At 39.2% G+C, this 20977-nt stretch overlaps 1 long non-coding RNA gene and 1 pseudogene across 1 annotated transcript; one reads left to right on the forward strand and one right to left on the reverse strand.

Annotated features, from left to right (window-relative positions):
• The first annotated feature begins 3986 nt into the window (after window positions 1-3986).
• Window positions 3987-16441, forward strand: LOC105374931 (uncharacterized). Its single transcript, XR_926488.2, has 3 exons — window positions 3987-4027; window positions 7134-7246; window positions 15006-16441. It is a non-coding gene; the product is annotated as an uncharacterized LOC105374931 (long non-coding RNA).
• On the reverse strand, window positions 14999-15294 carry RN7SKP293 (RN7SK pseudogene 293; annotated as a pseudogene).
• Window positions 16442-20977: the final 4536 nt, after the last annotated feature.

Below are 20977 nucleotides of genomic sequence, written 5' to 3' on the forward strand. Positions count from 1 at the left end.
AGTGATAGAAGAAAAAACCTAGAGATGAAGGAACATTAGATGTGTTCTTGGGATTGTGAAGAGATCAGTTTAGGAGAGGAAGAAAAATAAAGGACATGGATGAGAAATAGGAGTGGAAGAAGAGATTGGAGTCACACTGGGAAGTCTGCAATGCCAAAGGAATCTGGACTTTATCCTATAGGCAAGGTTGAACTGTGTACAATTACAGAATTCATTCCATCATCAACAGGTACTTATGAATTCCAGGCAAGACGCTAGAGACACAAGTTAAGGACATACATAGACACAGTGCATGCCATGGAAGTGATAGGTCCAATGAGTGTGTGATGAGAGTGTGGTAGTTGAATCTATCTAGGCTGACTTAGCACGCAGGGCTGCTGGGACCAAGCCCTGCCTTTTGCTTTGGATATTCTCCACTGTTCCCAGATAAAGAAAATGATGGCAGCATGTAGACCCTTTTTCCCCACTGGAGCTGAAGTTCTACCAGAAAACCTTAGCAATGCTAATTATTAGTGTTTATGAAGGCTTCTGAATCTATCATAAGACATGTAGGAAATTTCTAAATAATTTTCAAGTTCCTCAAAAATCACAGGGAAAAGTTGCCATACTACTTAATACTTGACACATGGAACATGAATATTGTTTCTCCTTCAATCAGAACCTATGATAGAAAATAATTAAGATTTCTTTATATTTTAGTGACTTAAAATGAAAATGAAAGTTTAACTGTTAAAATGAAAACATACAGAGATATTTCATTATTTTTACCCCATATATGGCATGGCAAGAGCCAAAAAGTAACCAATTTAATTTTTGGCAATGTAAAGAATTATCATGGTATTTTAGTATATGTGCTGCTGAGGTGAGTACTATCACGGTATTTTAAATACACATGAAGACACATGCGTCTTCATAACTGTATGACCACAGTCTTTTAACTTTCAAGTAAGAGGAGACTAAATTCTACCATGTTTGCAGAGGAGGTACCTTGGCCCTCACTAGAAATTTAACTTTCTTTAAACACGAACTTCAAGCAAACGAATCTATTCAGAATTTTAATTTGGGTGGTGGGGGGGGGTGCTTTGCTTTTGTAAGAGAGCTTGATAATCTTTCCCTGTTGAGCTCCTCAGTCTCCCAGGCTCCGTGGAGCTGCAGGATGTCATGCACTTGGACAGCAGCCACCTTGGAAAAATCTAAGCAGGCATAACTTGGTGTTAATGACTTTGGTAGCTTAGAGAAATAAAAAACGAGGAGCAGGTCCTCATGCAAGGCCTACGGGGGCGAGGTGGTTTTCCTCTTTGCAGTAAGGTTTGCTCTTTGTAAGAATGCTCAGAGTTAGATTCCTGCTCCTGCTCCAACTGGTTCAGGCTGACAATTGTGAAATGCTTCCCTGCCTGTCCTAATCGAAGGCCCACAACCAGGACCACAGAAGCAACCTTGGTTTGTGATGGACCCTTGTCTAAGGATCAGGTTTCCAGCATCATTTTCTACTTGCAGGTAGTTTTACCTGAATTTCTTCTTAGCTTTCCAGCATTTCCCGTGCCTGGGCCTCAGACAACTGTCTTCCCAATAACCTATGACTGACCTCCTTGGATCCCTGGTTTCTCCCTTGCTCTGACCTCTGCTAAATCCATATGCTGCAGATCTTTTACCTTGACTACCTGGCTCCTGACAGCTGGTTCATGCTTGCCTCAGCCAGGAGTGCAGACTCATACAGTTGTCAGATTTGCTGGTTGGGACCTAGACTTTGATTTCCTTGCTGAGCTGCTCTCCACAGACACCATACAGCTGTAAGACCTTATTCAGAAGGTTATGGAGTCACTTCCTTGGGAAGTTTTCATAAGAAAGGCTGAACAAACTTGCTTAGATAGTATGAGTCTAGCCTTAGACACAACAGCAGCCTTCTAATTTTATGATCCTTACCAACACTCTTACTACAAACCATACCGTGCCATTCTACAAACAATTTCTGTAAGTTGCAAAAATTTCTGACAACCCTATCTCAGGTTCAATTCCAGGTCTCCCTCACATAAGATGTGTCATGTATGTATGGATATAGGTCTCACAAACACTAAAAGAAATGTCAATTTAGGGTAATATATAGAAGCCAAAGCAAAAGACACACAAAAAATGAAGGCCTTATATTCTTCTCTGTCAATATTTCTAGTTAGAAATCCCAATTGACAACACTTATCATTCATTTTACCTTTGGAGAGATTTCTGAGTACTTCCAGTCTCTTTTATTTGAATTATTTTGGCTTGCTTTTTATTTAAGGGATAGAAAAAAAAGGGGGGCATTCTGAATTAAGCCTTCCCACATACATCTGTGTGAGGGAGATAGGTATCCAACATTCCACAGGTGATTCTGTGGCCAAAAAGCTTCAAGAGGGGAGCATGTCTTGAAAACACAGACAAGATGAGTCAATATCAGACATCAGAGACCAGGAGTCCCCTGCTCATGAGCCCCAAGGCACTCCATGGTGGGATGTGAAGAAGCCCTCCCAGGTGAGGTGAGGCAGGCAGTGGGATTTGGCTGAAGGAAGCCTTTCTCTGTCTCCTGGTGTGCTGACTTAGTGCACAGGGCTGCTGGGCCCAAGCCCTGCCTTTCATATTGGACATTTTCCAATCTGCCCAGATAGAGAAAACAAACAATGGCAGCATGAAGAGGGGCCATCTCCAGGTAATTCATCTGACTTCCAACTGTCCAGGGTTCTCCCATCAGAGCTGAAATACTACCCGGCAGACTGGCCATCAGGCAGCCGGACCTGGATATTTCCTTCAGCAGTGCTAATTCCTAGTGTCTTTACAGGAATCCTGACCCAGAAAGTCACCTCAATAGGTAAGAGGTTAAAAAAGCACAAACAGGGGAAACAAACTGGGTGATAAAAATTCTTGAGCCCTGGGGAGCTCAGAAAGGGGATTTGGAGCACAATTCACACTTGGGCCAGCCAGCTCTGTTCACGCTGATAAGTTGTTTTTTGAGAAAAACAAATGAATTCATATCTGATAAACCAGCACATTGATAATACCAAATTCCTTTTCCCTTTCTAAGGCTCTGTCAGGGAGGAGGGATAGATTATTTTTGCTGTGCAGGGGCAGAGAGGGTGGTAAGATTTACTGTAGATGCTACACAATGAAATATTTTTTGGTTTAATCAGTTTTGCAGGAATTGTACTGTTAAATGTCCCTTATTAAGAAATACCTTTATGTCCCCGTAAGAGTATTAGAATGACAGTTGATAAAATCTGTTTTAAAAGTGTTCATTGTTCCCATCACAAGTAAGAGCACCTTGGTTGATCCCAGGAGAGTTTTGATAAATTTTTATGTTTTTGAGGGGTTAGACCAAGTGCTGTTCCTCCTAAATGGTATTTTCTATTGTATATACATGTACATAAAAATTATTCTCCATGTCACCATCCTCAGACACCTAGCAACCAGTGACCCCCTCTCAAACAAAAAAACAAAACAAAACAAAACAAAAAAAACAGAGTCAATAAATTAGCCTGGAGCTGCATTCTGAATGGTAGCTCTCTAGCACTTACATCCATGAGTACTTTACTACATTCGTTAAAAGGTAGAACGCAAGTCAAAAATTCCTGAATAATCTACTGGCTGTAAGCAGGACATATGGAGCAGAAAGAGAGCCCGGTAGAATAATTTTTTCTTCTCTCTGGGTATTTTGAAAATTAGTTTCTATAAAAGATGATGTTTAAGCTGGGTCTTAAAAAGTGGATAGGAAATAGGCAAGTGGAAGTACTCTTCCAAATACACCTAGCACAGTGTATGCATGCTCAATTATTTAGTCATGCATTTATTCAGTCACTCATTAATTCATTCAGCGGAAAAGCTCAATACACACTGAAGATAGAATTCTCAGGCAGATAGACTTGATTGTTTTCATCACACAAGATAACGTAGTCACTTGGCTACAGAGAAGTAGACAATTATAATACAGTGATCAATACTATAGAGGACAAAGAAAGAGAGGCAGGTGCTTCAGCAACAGAGAGTAGAAGGGCAAAGAAAGGTAGGCTCTGTCTTCTACCCTGCCCCCTTTTCAGCCCTTCCTCTCTAAAACACAGAGAAATGTTCTCTTGTCATTGTTTTCATAGCCACGTATCAACTGATTCCTCGGAGTCCCTTAGGAGAGTATCTGATATGATTTTGGCCAAAATATTCAGAATCAAGGTTATATTAATCCACCTATTTTGTTCCCTTGAGTCTAAATTAATGGGTCTTTCTTAAAATATGAATTTGATTTTATTTCTACCACTGAATCCAGGCCCTGGCAGAGGCCCTGCTCAATCCTCATTGCTCAGGGCTGTGGGTTAATGACAGTTTTCAGAGTCCCAGGTACAGTCCTGCTGATTCGTGTTGGGATGTGGATGTCACCCCTGTCTCACCTGCTGCTAGCCCACATAGAAATGAGGTGTCAGATGCCTCTTTGTGCCTCAGTTTCCATTAATTTTAAATAAGAAGTTCAGATTAAAGGAACTCTAAGGTCCCTTCAATCCTTTGACTTTCAAAATTTTCCCTTTCATTCATTTATTGAGAGATGAGTCTTTGAAATCAATGGTGCTTTTGCATCATTAGAGGGCAGACTTCCCTTGGAGTAGGAAATGAAGGAGAGTTTTGAGAAATTAAAATATTTGATATGAAGCATTGGATTCCTCTTCTGATGGGCGAGCACGAGAGAGAGGAGGAATAGAAGAGCGAATGAAGATGATGAAGCAATTACCCACTAACCCTAGAGCAAATGTCCTCTACTGATCAAATTCTTATAGTATAGTGTGTTGAGCTACAAGTCCCATTGGAAGGTCGTGAAATCAGCATTAAAAAATGAAAGAAATTAAAGAGAATAGAAAATAGGCTACATTTTACATGAGAAGAAGAGATACTGTTTCATGAAATTCTTTTTCTTATCCACTATATGTGTGGGGGTGTGTTTACTAAATCACACTACAAAATTTATTTTTCAATGATTGTAAAGGTAACACACTTTAAAAATATTGAGCTAAGGGATTAAATGTTACTTTTAGGTTAAATGTTCAAAATATTTATACGTTAATATGTAAATGGGAGTTTTTGATCTTCTTGAAGCAAAGCAAGAATGCATAGATAAACCAGAGTAATAAGTATTGAAAATCTAGTAATCTTGAGTGAATAAAATACATTCTGTTTCATTGCAGATACAAACATCTACTGGGGAACTCCTAGCATGTTTCCTTAAAAGTCCTTTTTTAAAAAATAAATCTCATTAAACTGAATATTGGCTTTGAAGACAGACAAGCCTGCATTTAGAGCCCAATTTTACCGTTCCCTAGACGTTTGACTTTGAGAAAATTACTTTGCCTCCTTCTACACCTATCAGTTGCTTTATCTTTAAAATTATGGTAATCAGACTGGGCGCGGTGGCTCACGCCTGTAATATCAGCACTTTAAGAGGCTGAGGTGGGCGGATCACGAGGTCAGGAGTTCGAGACCAGCCTGGCCAACAAGGTAAAACCCCATCTCTACTAAAAACACAGGCGTGGTGGTGCGCGCCTGTAATCCCAGCTACTCGAGAGGCTGAGGCAGGAGAATCACTTGAACCTGGGAGGTGAAGATTTCAGTGAGCCGAGATTGTGCCATTGCACTCCAGCCTGGGCAATAGAGTGAGACTCTGTCTCAAAAAAAAAAAAATTATGGTAATCATACTTTGCACACAGAGTTTTTTGATTTTGGTTTTTTTAGGGGGAACTGCTTCATGAAAATTTTCTGAGCAAGGATTTTTTTGGATAAGAACTGAAAAGCTCAGGCAACGAAAGCAAAAATAGACAAACATGTTTATGTCAAACTAAAAAGCTGCACAGCAAAGAAAATAATTAACAGAGTGAAGAGACAACCTATAGAATGGGAGAAAATATTTGCAAATCATGCATCTGACAAAAGGTTAACATCTAGAATATATAAGGAACTCAATTCAATAGAAAAAATATTCGGTTTAAAAATTGGCAAAAGATCTGAAGAGACATTTCTCAAAAGGAGACATACGAATTACCTACAGGTATCTATGAAAAAAATCTTCAACACCTCTAATCATCAGGGAAATGTAAATCAAAACCTCAATGAGATACTACTTTACCCCAGTGAGAATGGTTGTCATCAAAAAGACAAAAAATAACGTATCCTGGTGAAGATGCAGAGAAAAGGGAACTCTTAAACACTGTTGTAGGAATGTAAATTAGTACAGAAAATATGTACAACCGTATGGAGGTTCCTCAAAAAATTAAACATAGAACTACGATGTGAGCCAACAATCACACTATTGGGTTTATAGCCAAGGGAAATAAAATCAGTATGTTGAACAGACATCTGCACTCCCATGTTTATTGCAGCCACATACACAATAGCCGAGATATGAAATCAACCCAAGTGTCCATCCATAGATGAATGAATTTAAAAATGTAGTACATACACATAATGGAATATTATTCACCATAAAGAACAATGAAATCCTATCATTTGCAACAACATGGATGAACCTACAGGGACATTATGTTAAGTGACATAAGCCAAGCACAGAAGGACAAGTATCTAAAAAAGTTGATCTCCAAAAACTGGAGAGTAGAATACTGGTTACCAGAGGCTGGGGAGGGGAAAGAAAGAGGGGGAAATGAAGAGAGGTTGGTCAATGGGTCCCAAGTTACAGTTAGAAAGGAGGAATAAGTTCTGGTGCTGTATATCACAGGAGCGTCATTGTAGTTAACAATAACGTCTTGTATATTTCAAAATAGCTAGAGGAGAATATTTCGAATGTTCTTACCACAAAGAAATGGCAAGTATTTTGAGGTGATGGTTATGCTAATTACTCCAATTTTATTATCACATAAGGCATACATGTACCAAAACATCACTCTGTACCCCATAAATATGTACAATTATTAGGTGTTAATTACAAACACAATTTTACACATTTTATTTTATTTATAATTGACAACTGATACTTGTACATACACACAGTTGTTTTAACAACTAAATCAGCCAATGTATGTCAAGTGTTTAGCCCAGTCTCTGGCACATAGTAAGCTCTCAATTAATGATAGTTTTCATGGTTGAAAGAAAATTAAATAGTTTTTTACTCTCCTAATTAGGAAGCCCAAGCGCAAGACAAGCCGTGTGACAGCTGACGAAACGATGCAGAGCTCACCTCTGAGCAGGCTGAGTCTCTGTGCTCACCTGCCCCTGAGAAATGATGATGAATCAGGTGAGAATAATAAATTAGCACAGATAGCAAACAATAAAAGTTGATCTCAGCTCATATGCATTCCTTCAAACTGCCTCTTCAATCTGGTTAAGAGACTACATCATTTATGGGTTATTTTCCAGTTGAAAAACCAAAGAACAGGCACTCTCTGTTCAAGGTAAGTGAACTGCTGACTTGGGACAATTTACTGCCCTGAATGGGATCCTGCTTCTCACCTCTGTTTCTGGTCATGATTCTGAGGACTAACATAAAACATCATGTTTCCATGCAGTAGCTTTTAGAGTGTCCCATGACAGAGGAGCAGCACATAGGTTATGCAGTTGTTTTTAAAATGAGTGTCCAACAGCGACCAAGCTGAGAATCAAATCAAGAACTCAACCCCTTTTACAATAGCTGCAAAATACACACACACACATACACAAACACACACACACACAAAACAAAAAAACAAAAAAAACTTAGGACTACCTAACCAAGGAGGCGAAAGACCTCTATAAGTGAAACTACAAAACACTGCTGAAAGAAATCATAGATGACACAAACAAATGGAAACACATCCCATGCTCATGGATGGGTAGAATCAATACTGAGAAAATGACCATACTGCCAAAAGCAATCTACAAATTCAATGCAATCCCTATCAAAATACCACCATCATTCTTCACAGAACTAGAAAAAACAATCCTAAAATTCACATGGAACCAAAAAAAGGCCCACATAGCCAAAGCAAGACTAAGCAAAAAAAAAAAAAAAAAAAAAAAAAATCTGGAGGCATTACATTACTTGATTTCAAACTATATTGTTAGGCCATAATCACCAAAACAGCATGGGACTCGTACAAAAATAGGCACATAGACCAGTGGAACAGAGTAGAGAACCCAGAAATAAACCCAAATACTTACAGCCAACTGATCTTCAACAAAGCAAACAAAAACATAAAGTGGGGAAAGGACACCCTATTCAATAAATGGTACTGGGATAATTGGCAAGCCACATGTAGGAGAATGAAACTGAATCCTCATCTCTCACCTTATATAAAAATCAACTCAAGATGGACCAACGACTTAAATCTAAGATCTGGAAACTAAAAATTCTAGAAGATAACGTTGGAAAACCTTCTAGACATTGGCTTAGGCAAGGATTTCATGACCAAGAACCCAAAAGCAAATGCAATAAAAACAAAGATAAATAGCTGGGACTTAATTAAACTAAAGAGCTTTTCCAAGGCAAAAGGAACAGTCAGCAGAGTAAAGAGACAACCCACAGAGTGGGAGAAAATCTTCACAATCTATACATCTGACAAAGGATTAATATCCAGAATTTGTAACAAATATGAATAGACAGTTCTCAAAAGAAGACATACAAATGTCCAACAAACATATGAAAAAATTCTCAACACCACTAATGATCAGGGAAATGCAAATCAAAACCACAATGTGATACCTCCTTACTCCTGCAAGAATGGCCATAATCAAAAAATCAAAAAAATAATAGATATTGGCATGGATGTGGTGATCAGGGAACACTTCTACACTGCTGGTGGGAATGTAAATTAGTACAACCACTATGGAAAACAGTATGGAGATTCCTTAAAGAACTAAAAGTAGAACTACCATTTATTCCAGTAATTCCACTACCGGTTATCTACCCAGAGGAAAATAAGTCATTATATGAAAAAGATACTTGCACATGCATGTTTTTGACAGCATAATTCACAATTGCAAAAATCTGGAACCAACCCAAATGCCCATCAATCAATGAGTGGATAACAAAACTGTGGTATATGTATGATGGAATACTACTCAGCCATAAAAAGGAATGAATTAATGGCATTCACAGCAACCTAGATGAGATTGGAAACTATTATTCTAAGTGAAGTAACTCAGGAATGGAAAACCAAGCATCGTATGTTCTCACTGATAAGTGGGAGCTAAACTATGAGGATGCAAAGGCATAAGAATGACACAATGGGCTTTGGGGGCTCAGAGAAAAGGGTGGGAAGGGTGTGAGGGATAAAATACTACAAATTGGGTGCAGTGTATACTGCTCAGGTGATGGGTGCACCAAAATCTCACACATCACCACTAAAGAACCTTCTCATGTAACCAAACACCACCTGTTCCCCGATAACCTATGGAAATAAAATAAATAAAAATAAAATAAAATGGGCATCTAAAAGCCTTTTATTATTTGTGAATATTGCCAACTGGAAGTGATTAAATTCATGTGACATTCATGAAATATAGAACACCTCTTTAATGGAAGTTCATTTTGAGCCTTTTCTTATGGTCAACAAACCTCAGGGGATCTAGATTTGAAACTTTGCAGAGATTAAGCATCCAGTCTACAAGTTTACATGTGCAGATGAATAGATCAATGGCTTGTCTAAAACACAAAATAGATCACTAATTTTGTTAATTGTAAGATGTTATAGGGATCATCCAGAACAAATCCTTCATTTTACAGACGTGGAAATAAATCCAGAGGCATTAGGCTGCCCAGTTTTTCACATGGATAGTATGTGGCTCAGGACTTGAACTCAGACAGTCTGTCTCCAAGCCCAGTACTCTTCCCCTGTATTCTAGATTCTCAACAATGGGTATGAAGTAAAGGCAGTTCGTATAGTTCAAGGTCATGGCAGGACTATTTGGAGTCGCCTTCACAAAGCAAGCCAGCCAATTCTCACTCAGCCTGGACATAGGACAGACTTTCCAAGAGAGGCAGGAAACTGGGCTTTCTGCCACCCAACATCCCATTTTTCTCTTGAAAATGCAAAAAGAGACTGATTTCATTTCTGAAGGGCACTTGATTATATGATTGAAAAGCCCAGTAATTATTTTTGACCTTCAACCCAATGATTCCACTCCTAGAAATTAATCACTAAAAAAAAGAACCTGGATGAGAGGAAGGATTTAGCTTCAAGAATGGCATAAAGTTGTTTTTACAATGACAAGATCCTGTACCCAAGAGAATTGTTTAAATAAGCTCCGATATATTTATATCATAGTTTATTTTATTTTACAGCCACAAAAATGATATTACAAGAAAATAACATCTAATAACCTGGGGAAATGTTCTGGATATGTTGCTCAGGAAGGTATCTTACAAAACAGCATGTGCAAAATGATTCTTATTTTGTAACAAAAATCTATATTTATACCTATATTTGTTTAATAGAAGGACTCAGATAAAATATCCCAATGTATCAAGAGTCAGCAATAGAATGTTTGGTCATTAATATTTTTGCCTTTAGAGTTTTGTTCTATTTTCCAAAGTTTTGAATATGAACATGCATTATTCCTATAATGAGACTAAAAATATTATTTAAAGCTAAAGTCTTATTTCCTCCCTCAATATGCCTCTGGGGTAGTCCAGTAAGCTGAGGATGTAGGATAGCACTTCAGGCCTTTAATGGTGGTGACAATGAAGGGGACAGAGATAGAGACATAGTCTGAGGATTTATCACATATAGTACTTTCAATCCCTTGGGCTATTGTATCATCAAGCACAAAATTTTTTTCTTAATGGTACCTTCTACAGTGCTTTATAAGTCTCAAACATTTTTTAGACAAAGGCCAAGTTAAGCAGGAAAAAAGGTCCATGACCTACTCAGTCTGTCTATTCACACTTTCCACTAGGAAAATGAACACCTTGGTCTTATAAAAGTGGAAAGAAACAAGATCAAACACATTACAGCAAACTTATTGGCAATATATAAGAATCACTAATCAATGTATGTGAAAAGCATCTGAGCTTATACACATGATTTCACGTTGTGATGCTGTGTCATGTAAACCTGAAACTAACCCAGTAGGATTTTTATTTTTATTTTTTATTTTTTATTTTTGAGACAGAGTCTTGCTCTGTTACCCAGGCTGGAGTCCAGTGGCACGATCTCGGCACACTGCAAGTTCCACCTCCTGGGTTCACGCCATTCTCCTGCCTCAGCCTCCAGAGTAGCTGGGACTACAGGCACCCGCCGCCACGCCCGGCTAATTTTTTTTGTATTTTTAGTAGAGACAGGGTTTCACCGTGTTAGCCAGGATGGTCTTCTCGATCTCCTGACCTCGTGATCTGCCTGCCTCAGCCTCCCAAAGTGCTGGGATTACAGGCGTGAGCCACAGCACCCGGTTGTATTTTTATATTTATCTTGTTAATTTGCTGAAAATTACTTAAATGGAACACATATATAGATGGCAGATGTCACCTGGAAGTGCTATAAGCACATGTTGGGAGCTTATACTTGTGTTAGTGCAAGAGTGTGGGTGATTCATATTTGAACCATAACACATACATATCTTAGTTTAGTGATTGGGAAATTATAGGCCAAAAGTAAACTTCATGGAAAAGTGCGTCACTACACACTATGGGGCCAACTAAATTGCTAATAAATGAAGCTAGACTAATAAATGAAGCTAGAATAATTTGTCATTAAAATGCAAGAATGACAGCCATCAAAAACTGCCCAATCAAGACAAAAGTGCTGAAGCACTAACCTGAAAGCCACCTTCTCAAAAATTTCAGAATTCCAAATCTTGATGCCTATGCCGGTTTCACAGGAGCTGGGCAGTGCCACCAAGAAGCTCAAGTTTTTGTTGAGCATGGGATTAGAATCCTCAGTAAAATCCAACATGTGGCTTTTCTTGGCTCATGAATAGGAAGTCTGTGTAACTTGTAAGACTTTACTTGGCAGGTTAGTACTAAGTGGCCCTGTGTAAAATCGATAACCTTGCACCACCATCTGCCTGTAAGAATTTAGGAAAGGACTCTCATTTTAGCATCAGTGCTCTCTGAGGACCACCAATGTCCCAGGTTCACACTTTAAATCACTGTGAGTTCAGGGCATTCTTGATCAATGTGAAGTCAGGACATGAGCAAGAGCCTAATTCACTGACTCACCCAGCACTTCTGAACTCAGACTGCAGGGCCAGAGGGCAGGCTAAGAAGGCTGCTTTGGAAGAAATATGCAAAACTCCAGGACATTTTCCCCCATTTGCCTTTTGCTCTTTTGTCCTTTTCCATCTCCCACTCCCTGCTCATAGTCTAAGTCATGACAGAAATGGAAGGTTGGTGGTGGAGGACATCCCAGTCCAGTGCTTTTCTTTTTTTTGCTGCTGATTTTTCATTTTCTTGGTTCTTTAACAAGCCATCTGTCATCTCGGAGGAGTAACTTTCCTTTTCAGCTCCCTACACATCTGTATTTCACAGAAATAAAAGGGAAGCTTTAGGATTTTGCCAACAAAGAGATGATGTTGGAACCTCTTTAATAGCCTCCATCTTCAGGGGATTCGTGATTGTGAGAAAATTCCTAACTAGGCCCAAGGAGAAAACCTAGGAATTCTAACCACTAGACAGACACCGTGGTGCCCAAGTCTTTGGAGTCTTTAAGAATTAGCTGGGATTTATGTAATGGGCGGAGGATATGAATTCCAGCATCTGAAAGGGCTTTGTATAACCTCCTCCCTTTAAAAATGGCTTGGCATGTCAGATGTCATCTGGCCCTGACAATTTACATGTCTCCCTCCAGAGGCAGAGGATAATGACAATAGTAGCAGTAGTCTGGGGGCCTCATGGTCTTATGGACACTGAGAGGACAATGGGCCAATGGGCCGAGGCACCAGCTGTGTGGTGTCAGGGCCAGGCTCTGAGGCTAATTAGGGCTACCAGACTTGAGGGTGCCCCTGTTGCTCCTGCTCTCTGCAGGGGCCCCACGGCTGCTGAAACTGCCTGGTCAGAGTGAGTCAGGCCTTGGCACCCTTGGACATTTGTGAATTTTGTCTTCTGGCCCCCTCTCTCCTTCTGTCTTGTCTGTTCTGTGCAGCCTTTTCAGTCTTTTCCAGATTTTTTGATGCTCCTCCTACCCAAACCTGCTCTCAGTAAAGGTACGGATCTTCACCTGACATTTGAGGATAAACTTAGGTTGACCACTATCTTTTGAAATGGAAGGATCATTCTCATGTTTTCCTCAAATGATGCAGAGATGATCATGTCCCCTAGAAAGGCTGGAGTTAGTTAATACTTCGGGATTTAGAAAGATTTCTCAAATTCCCTGAAATCACAGGATTGCTACTTCCTTAAATATGATTGACTCCAGGGGGAATTTTTGCAAGGTGTGAATTCAAACTGTAAACCATCACCAGCTGCCTCCAGCTGTCTGTAGAAGGGCTTTCTACAAAGAACTCTGATTTTTTTTCCCCAGAGAAGCTGGGCCAATCCAGAAGTGCTTCTATCATGCCTTTATCTACACTGTCCTGGGGAAGTACTGAGGCAAGTTACCTAAACTCACTGTGCCTCAGTTTTCCTCATTCATAAAATGGATATAATAATAATAATAGCACCATCTTATAGGAGGGTTAAATGTAATAGTATACGTATAAAATCTTTGAAGAGGGCTCGACACACAGAAATTACTCTTAGGCCTAGTTACTGCTTACTTCTGAGGCTTGAGGAGTACAGAATTGGGACCTAACTTTGGAATAGTGCTACAGGATGAGGCTTTTTGTTTTCTATTGTTTTAAAATCAAAAGGATAAAAATTAAGCAGCAGGTCCTCTTTTCTCACTTTGGGCATTTTGGGGCCCACATGGTAGGAACCTACCTCTAGGAGCCCCTTTGGCCTTGAAGAGGTTCTCTTACTCTAGTAGAGTACATGTGGACACAGTCGCATTTAATTTACTGGCTTGATTTGCCATGTACATTTATATATTAATTTTAGTTTGTATCATTTCAACTACTGTTCTAAAAAAGAACAAAATTTTCTCTTGGCATACAATACTTACAAAGAAAAAAAAAGATAAAAAGGAAAATGACAAAAGAGAGAAAGAAAGAGAGAGAAAAAGAAAGAATACATTTTGAGGACGTGTAAATATGCTATTATTATGTTAATCCACAAAATCCTAATGAACCAAGACATGTTTTAGCCACTGCTGCTTCTGCTAAAGGATGTCTGTCTTAGTTAATTGAGTGTTGCTATAAATGAATTCTACAGGCTGGGTACTTGATTTTTAAAAAAGGTTTATTTGGCTCACAATTCTGATGGCTGGGAAGTTCAGGATTGGGCGTCTGCATCTGGTGAGGGATCAGGCTGCTTCCATTCATGGTAAAAGGCAAAGGGGATCCTGCATGTGTGGAGATCACATGGTGAGAGAGGAATCAAGAGGTAGCGGGGAGATGTCAGGCTCTTTTAAACAACCAGCTCTCTTGGTATCTATCAGCATGAGTACTCACTCAACATCAAGGGAGGGCCTTAATCTACCCATAAGGGATCTGTCCCCATGACCCAAACATCTCCCATTGGAAGATTAAATTTCATTATGAGGTTTAGAGGGGACAAACATCTAAACCATAGCAGTGCCCTAGTGCAGATAACACTTCAATATTGTGATTCCATGTTTATGTGCCTGCCTATCTTGCTAGATTTAGCTTTCTGAAGTCTCCTGTATCCTCTTTGTATCCCTTAAAGCCAGCACAGAAGGTGTAACAGGTATGTGCAAACATCTTACCTAGTTATTGACTTAACCTTCAGTTACTGAGAGTAGTTGGAAGGGCTGAGATGTGGGTTATTCTAGGGATATACATTCTAATAGGAGAGAGAGGATCACATGGTATTCAAGAAAAGAGGCCAGGTATGTCAGTGCCTTCTGGAGCCCAGGATGGTGTTGACACCAGATTGCATGGATCTCCACTCTGATATGTCCTTGATGCAGCTCATTTCTCTAATCTCTCTCTCTCTTTCTCTCTCTGTCTCTCTCTCAAAGCAGAAACTGCCAAATGCAACACCTCATTCTGGATGTGGAATCCGGGAGTCTTGACTGCTGTATATTCTCCTACAAATGAACCTTGTTTGGAAGTTCTAGCAGGAGCTACTTGTACACCTGTGAACAAGGAAAGGTCCTCCTCTATTGGGGAAGATCGTCTTCTTCAACCAAGCACACAGCACATGGAGCTGTGTAGAAGGAAGGGGCCACCCACCTAGCCAGCCAGATCAGCCAAATCAACCCTGGGGATCAATGTGATGACAAGTGTCACAGCCAGATCACCCTCACATCCTCCATCTCTTTATGAAATGTCAACTTTGAATGGTGCCAACATCTTTCTGCACCCTCTACCTCTGCTTCCTTTGACCAAGTAGGATGTGCATGGACTGCTTCTGGGCCATGATATGGATGGGGAAGGACCTATGTGTCTGCTCCACCCAGGATCAGCAGCCCAGCATTTTTTCTGCTGTTCATCTGGTGCCTGAAGTGGATGGGAACAAACAAACAACAGCATTTATTGATGGGGTCCCAATGGGACCTTTTTTTCTACATGCCTATGCCATGGGATTAAACATCATCAGAGTTAGAATTTGAGACAAGGTTGTTTTTATGTTCACTCCAGTGACAAAATTTCAACAGATATAACAATGCCTGGAAACAGTGCCTGGGACATGGAAAGTCACATCTCAGAGGAGCCAGCCAATATTTCAAAATCTAAGGGCCTGTCCCACTCCATCTACAACCATAATCATCTTTCTCATCCCTAATAAATCTCCAAGCAACCACACACTATTACTAGTGAGAAAAGCACAGAAATGTACACCCCAAGAGAAAGGATATCTTTAAGGCACTAACCAGAGCTGGTTTGAGTCACCTGGATACAGCACTGTATTTTTGTGGTTTTATTTTTTCTCAACCTTCTAAATTCAGGGTTATCTCGAGATGGGGAGACAAGAAAGCAACAAGTAATCCACAAAGAGGGAAATCTAAAAGGAAGGAGATAAGTTGTGAGCAAAGGACAGTGAGAGACTGATTCTAAGGATGGTGAAGACCAAGAGCAGAAATGCTGTTTTAATAAGTAAAACATTTGCCACATATCCTATTAGAATCTTTGTCCTCCTTGCCTTTAACCCTGCCTCTTAGGGATGGAGAAAGGGAGGTGCCATCAGCATGGGAAGTCACCCCTCAGTGCAGCTCTCCCTCCCTGAGCCTGGCCATTCCCTTCGCCCCCAGCTCCCGGTGGAAATCTGTTATCACAGTACTTGCCACACTACATTGAAGTTGGCTCTTTCTCATGGAAACACATCAGTCCTCTCAAGCATATTACCAACTTATTCATCTTTATACCTTCGGAGCCCAGTCCCTTGTTGAAGAAATATTGTTTGAAAAGAGCTGTAAAATTTCCTCCATAAAACACAGTAAAAAGATATTTTCCATTTGCCCAATTGCTTAAAATTTTTAAATTGGAAGCCATGTATAACTTCCTTTCTTCCTAATCCTGTAAGCACTGAGAGTGACAGTTCTTAATACAGATACAGCAAGAAAAGTTAAAGTTCACGCCAGTACCTGTAGTAGCAATAAGGTACAACACCAAAGTGCGTTATTATTGTGGCTTAGCATATTTCTCCCTTGCTAGGATGAAGTTTGGCGTTGACTGACAGGTCAATACTACCTGAAAACCCCCAGCAAGGCCAAACCCAGCATTAAGAGCTTCTTGTTACAAAGGAGCTGGTAGGGACCCAATCCTTCAGCATCAGAACAAACGGGGAAGATGGGTCCTTTGCTATCAAAACCAAATTCATTCCTGATTTGAGAGTTCTTTATTCTTTCTGGGAGTGCAGTGGTGCGATCTTGGCTCACTGCAACCTCCGCCTCCTGGGTTCAAGAGACTCTCCTGCCTCAGCCTCCTGAGTAGCTGGGATTACAGGCACGAGCCACCACGCCCGGCTAATTTTTTGTATTTTAGTAGAGATGGGGTTTCACCATGTTGCCCAGGCTATTCTCGAACTCCTGAGCTCAGGCGATCCACCCACCTTGACCTCCCAAAGTGCTGGGATTACAGCTGTGAGCCACCGCACCTGGCCCCCCTTTTATATCTTTCTATAAGTTGTCACAAATCAGTTATGGTTGTTACAAGTGTTCCTGGAAGCTAATTGTTGGCCGTCACATTAACAGCAACAATAGAAACTCTCGGGGTGGGTCATGGTCTTTAGCACTACATATCTAAAGTAGATCTTATTTGAAATGGTTTAAAATGAATAGAGGAAATGAGATGGGCACAAGTTGCATAACATCTTTATCACTGTCTCTGCGTTTCATCCTGACGCCCATACCTCTGCATCACCTTCCTCCTGGGTACCCTCCCATTGTGCATGCCCGTATTCTTCTTAGGAGTATTTGGCGTTCTCTGTTCTGCTCAGAATAGCATGCGAAACGACTGCTTGTGGAGCTGCTCTCCATTGTTAGGGAGACAATAAAAGGATGTCTGATAAGCATCTTACGACAGATTTTTTCTACAGCTGAAGCATATTGGCGGCATAATTTTCCAAATTTGCATTCTACCTGTGGCTCCAAGGGGCTAACCTAGACTCCTTGCCAAGGGAGGACATTGTTCCTTCATTTTCTAGAGGCTGCAGGCACTTACCGGATTATTATTGATATTGTCTCAGAGCTGGCTCATTCTCACACTACTAACCGGTAACTATGAATCTCTGGCTGCTCGAAAGACTTTTGCACTGTCTCAATGTTTCAGGAAAACCTCTGTGAGAAGTACACGAGCAGATACAATGTAGTCTGTGTTTTCAAATATGTATTTATATTTAAATATAACATATATTTAAGTAAACATGTAGGAAATCCAGATTGTTTTTTAAAAGATAGATTGAAAATGATGCCTTGCTCTATAGAAGAGTCACAAAAAGAGGACAGAAATTTTTCAGACTCTGATGTAATCGCTATGTTTACTCTGCTGGAAGTTTTCAACAGAGGCTCAACTCCCATTTTCAAGAACATTCTAGAAGGATATATGTTTATGTGAGTTGGAAACTACACTAGACTTTTTTTAACGCTTGTTCTAAGACCCAATTTTTCTCCAACTCCTTTAAATAAAAAAATCCCTATATATTTAAAATATAATTAAATTAAAGAAATTTCAACATCCATGCAAGTCTGTAGGAATGCTTGTTTGCTGAAACAAAACTGTTGTTTATGACTCTTTGACCAACTCTGTTTATTATGTGTGTGCAATGTGTAAGGCATGATACAAATATTTTGGATACCAAGAAGGTAAAGGCACCTCACTTCAATCTGAAATAGCTATTGAGGAGACAAGTCGTAGGTCGATAGATAATTACTTTTTAAAGTCCAAATGGTTGATTAAAACTCTATGCAGGTGATTTGTGGGTTCTGATTAAGGAGAGAAAATTCCAGACTACAATATTAAAAGCTTTCTTTAAAGAAGTGGAATTTAAACTGTCCTCTTTGAAGAATTCTTTTACCTATGTGTTTCTACTGCTTCTTTTTAATCATATATTAATATTAATCATATATTAATAATAATTTCTTTTACCGCTTTCTATGTTTCTCAGAAAATAAAAAAAGTAAAAGGATAGTTAGAATTTCAAATGGTAAACATAATGGGGAAAGGCTGTTATTTATTGACAACCCACAGTTTTAAGAGTCTTTGTAATTATTTAGCATCTTGATTTCATTCCTTCAGTTTACACTTGTTTTCAGCAAAATCATGGCCAAAATAAGAAGAAACAGCAGGAGGCAAATTAATGTCTTAGAAACCCTAGGTCAGAATCATCAAAGGGACAATGATTGCAACATTTTAAAATTGTTGAAAATAGCTAGTATGTTTCCTTCTAATACAATGTGAATAATGAGGAGGAATTTTAGGGATTAGATTGAATTTCTGCATTTTGCAACATTTGGTAAACATAAAGTTCTTCCATTTTCTGTTCACCATATGTGCCATATTTTCTATTAGCATAAAATTCCTGTGACCCTTAAATAATTCAGATTCAGTGACATAACATAATTAAGATTCTGTTAAAGTTAAATAGATGAACAAAATTCTAGTCTTTTCACTTTGAAAGTAAAACAGCTTCTCTGGGCCACTCATATATAGAGATTTCTCTTTCTTGCAAATATTTTTAACAATATAAAATATGTTTTAGAAATCAAATGTTGGTTATGAACTTGCTTCATGATAGAATGATAGTTTCACTTGACCTGTTAATTATTTTAAACTTTTAAATAGAATTCATAAAACGTGCTTCCCACTTACTTCATCTGTTCCCCAAGTAATTGGGTTTCAGTCACTTTTTTGGTCTTGATTTTCTTGGTGAGCCAGAAGGAAGCAAAATCAATGTACAGGAAGCACCCAACTTCATCCACCTGGGGAAAATGAAACCGTTTACATGTATTTGTAGGACATGTACTCAGCCTGATGCTAATGACTCCTTTGTATATAAAGAAGTGAGCCTTAGGGCAAACCCTCAACGAGCTTCCCTTCTTACTAGGAAAAGAGGGCTCCCTGCAAGGGACCTAATTAACCAGTAAGAGCGAACTTGAGTGAGTCAGACTAACAATATTAGGAGTAAGGGATACACAATTGGGAATCAGAGCCATCAGGGAAATGCCCAGGAGAAAGTAGGACCTGAACCGATCTTTGAGATAAACCTCATTCTGGACAACCATGAAATCAACAAACACTGGACAGAGGCCACTATGTGTATAGGCTGGTGAAAAACAATCACTTAAACAAACAGAAACAACATTAAAAACAAACAAACAAAAGGATCCTTCCCGACTGGAGCAGTGGTGCCCTTGGGGAATAGTGGACATAGGTGAGTCAGTAGCCAAGGGGTGGTCAGGTGATGGTGGGCTCTGAAATTTAAACAGAAGAGCGACACAATATGGTGGCCCCTAAACTCCCGTAAGTTCTTTTGAGGAAACCTGGAGAACGATAGGCTGGACAAGGTATTGCACTAGAGTATCAGATAATCTGTTTGGTGTCTCAGTTAATCATAGAAGTAGTTAGGAGGTAAGTTAGGAATAAGTCATCTCATTCTAAGTGGTGTTGGGATTTTTGTTTTTAACTCATAATTTTTCTTGAACTTTTGATAACTGTTGCTGATCAGCTTCTAGCTTAATTCTAAAAGACATTAGGAGTGAAAGAGACAAACAATCATTTGGAATTTGAAAGCTTGTTTTTTGCTTTGTTTTTAAGGAAGACTGGAGCTTCAGGCTCTAGTATTTTATTACATCTATCACATATTTATTATAGTCAGATATGGCAGTGTTCAGAGCAATGACTAAGAACAAAGACCTTAGAGTCAGAGGCAGATTGGGACTGAATCCCAGGTCTGCTTCTCAAAGGCATATCACCTTGAGGAAGTTATTTTATTTACCTGGGTCCCAGTTTCCTCATATACAAAATGGGTACAATGATGATAAAATAATAATAATACCCATCTCATGGAACTACACGTGTATATTTATTATATTTATATTTATGTTTTTATGTAGTTACTAGAACAGTGCTTGGTACAGAAGAAGCAATCAATTAGGTATTAACTATGATTACTTTATAGTCACAAATGTCCTTAATATCGTACCATAATTAAGTACTTAACATTTTATTGTATCTACAGAGAACACTACAAACTCTAGGAATTAGATGAAAAGGTTTGAGAACCACCAAGCCAAAAATGGGAAGCAATTATAATTTTTGTTCAAAAACTGACATGATGAAAATGATTTTTCAGGAGATTAGTTTGCTTTCTTCTCTTTCATTCCTTCTTGGTGTATACATTTTTCCTAAACAATCTTATCCATCTCCATGGTTTCATTTATAGTATTTCTTATACGCTGGCGTGCAAATTTTTTATCTCCAAACCTGACCCTTTTCTCTAGCTCTTAACTTGCGTATTCAATGGCCTAACAGAAATTGATTACTTTTTTAAAGA

Source organism: Homo sapiens, chromosome 6 (genome assembly GCF_000001405.40).
Source record: "Homo sapiens chromosome 6, GRCh38.p14 Primary Assembly".
NCBI classification, from domain to species: domain Eukaryota; kingdom Metazoa; phylum Chordata; class Mammalia; order Primates; family Hominidae; genus Homo; species Homo sapiens.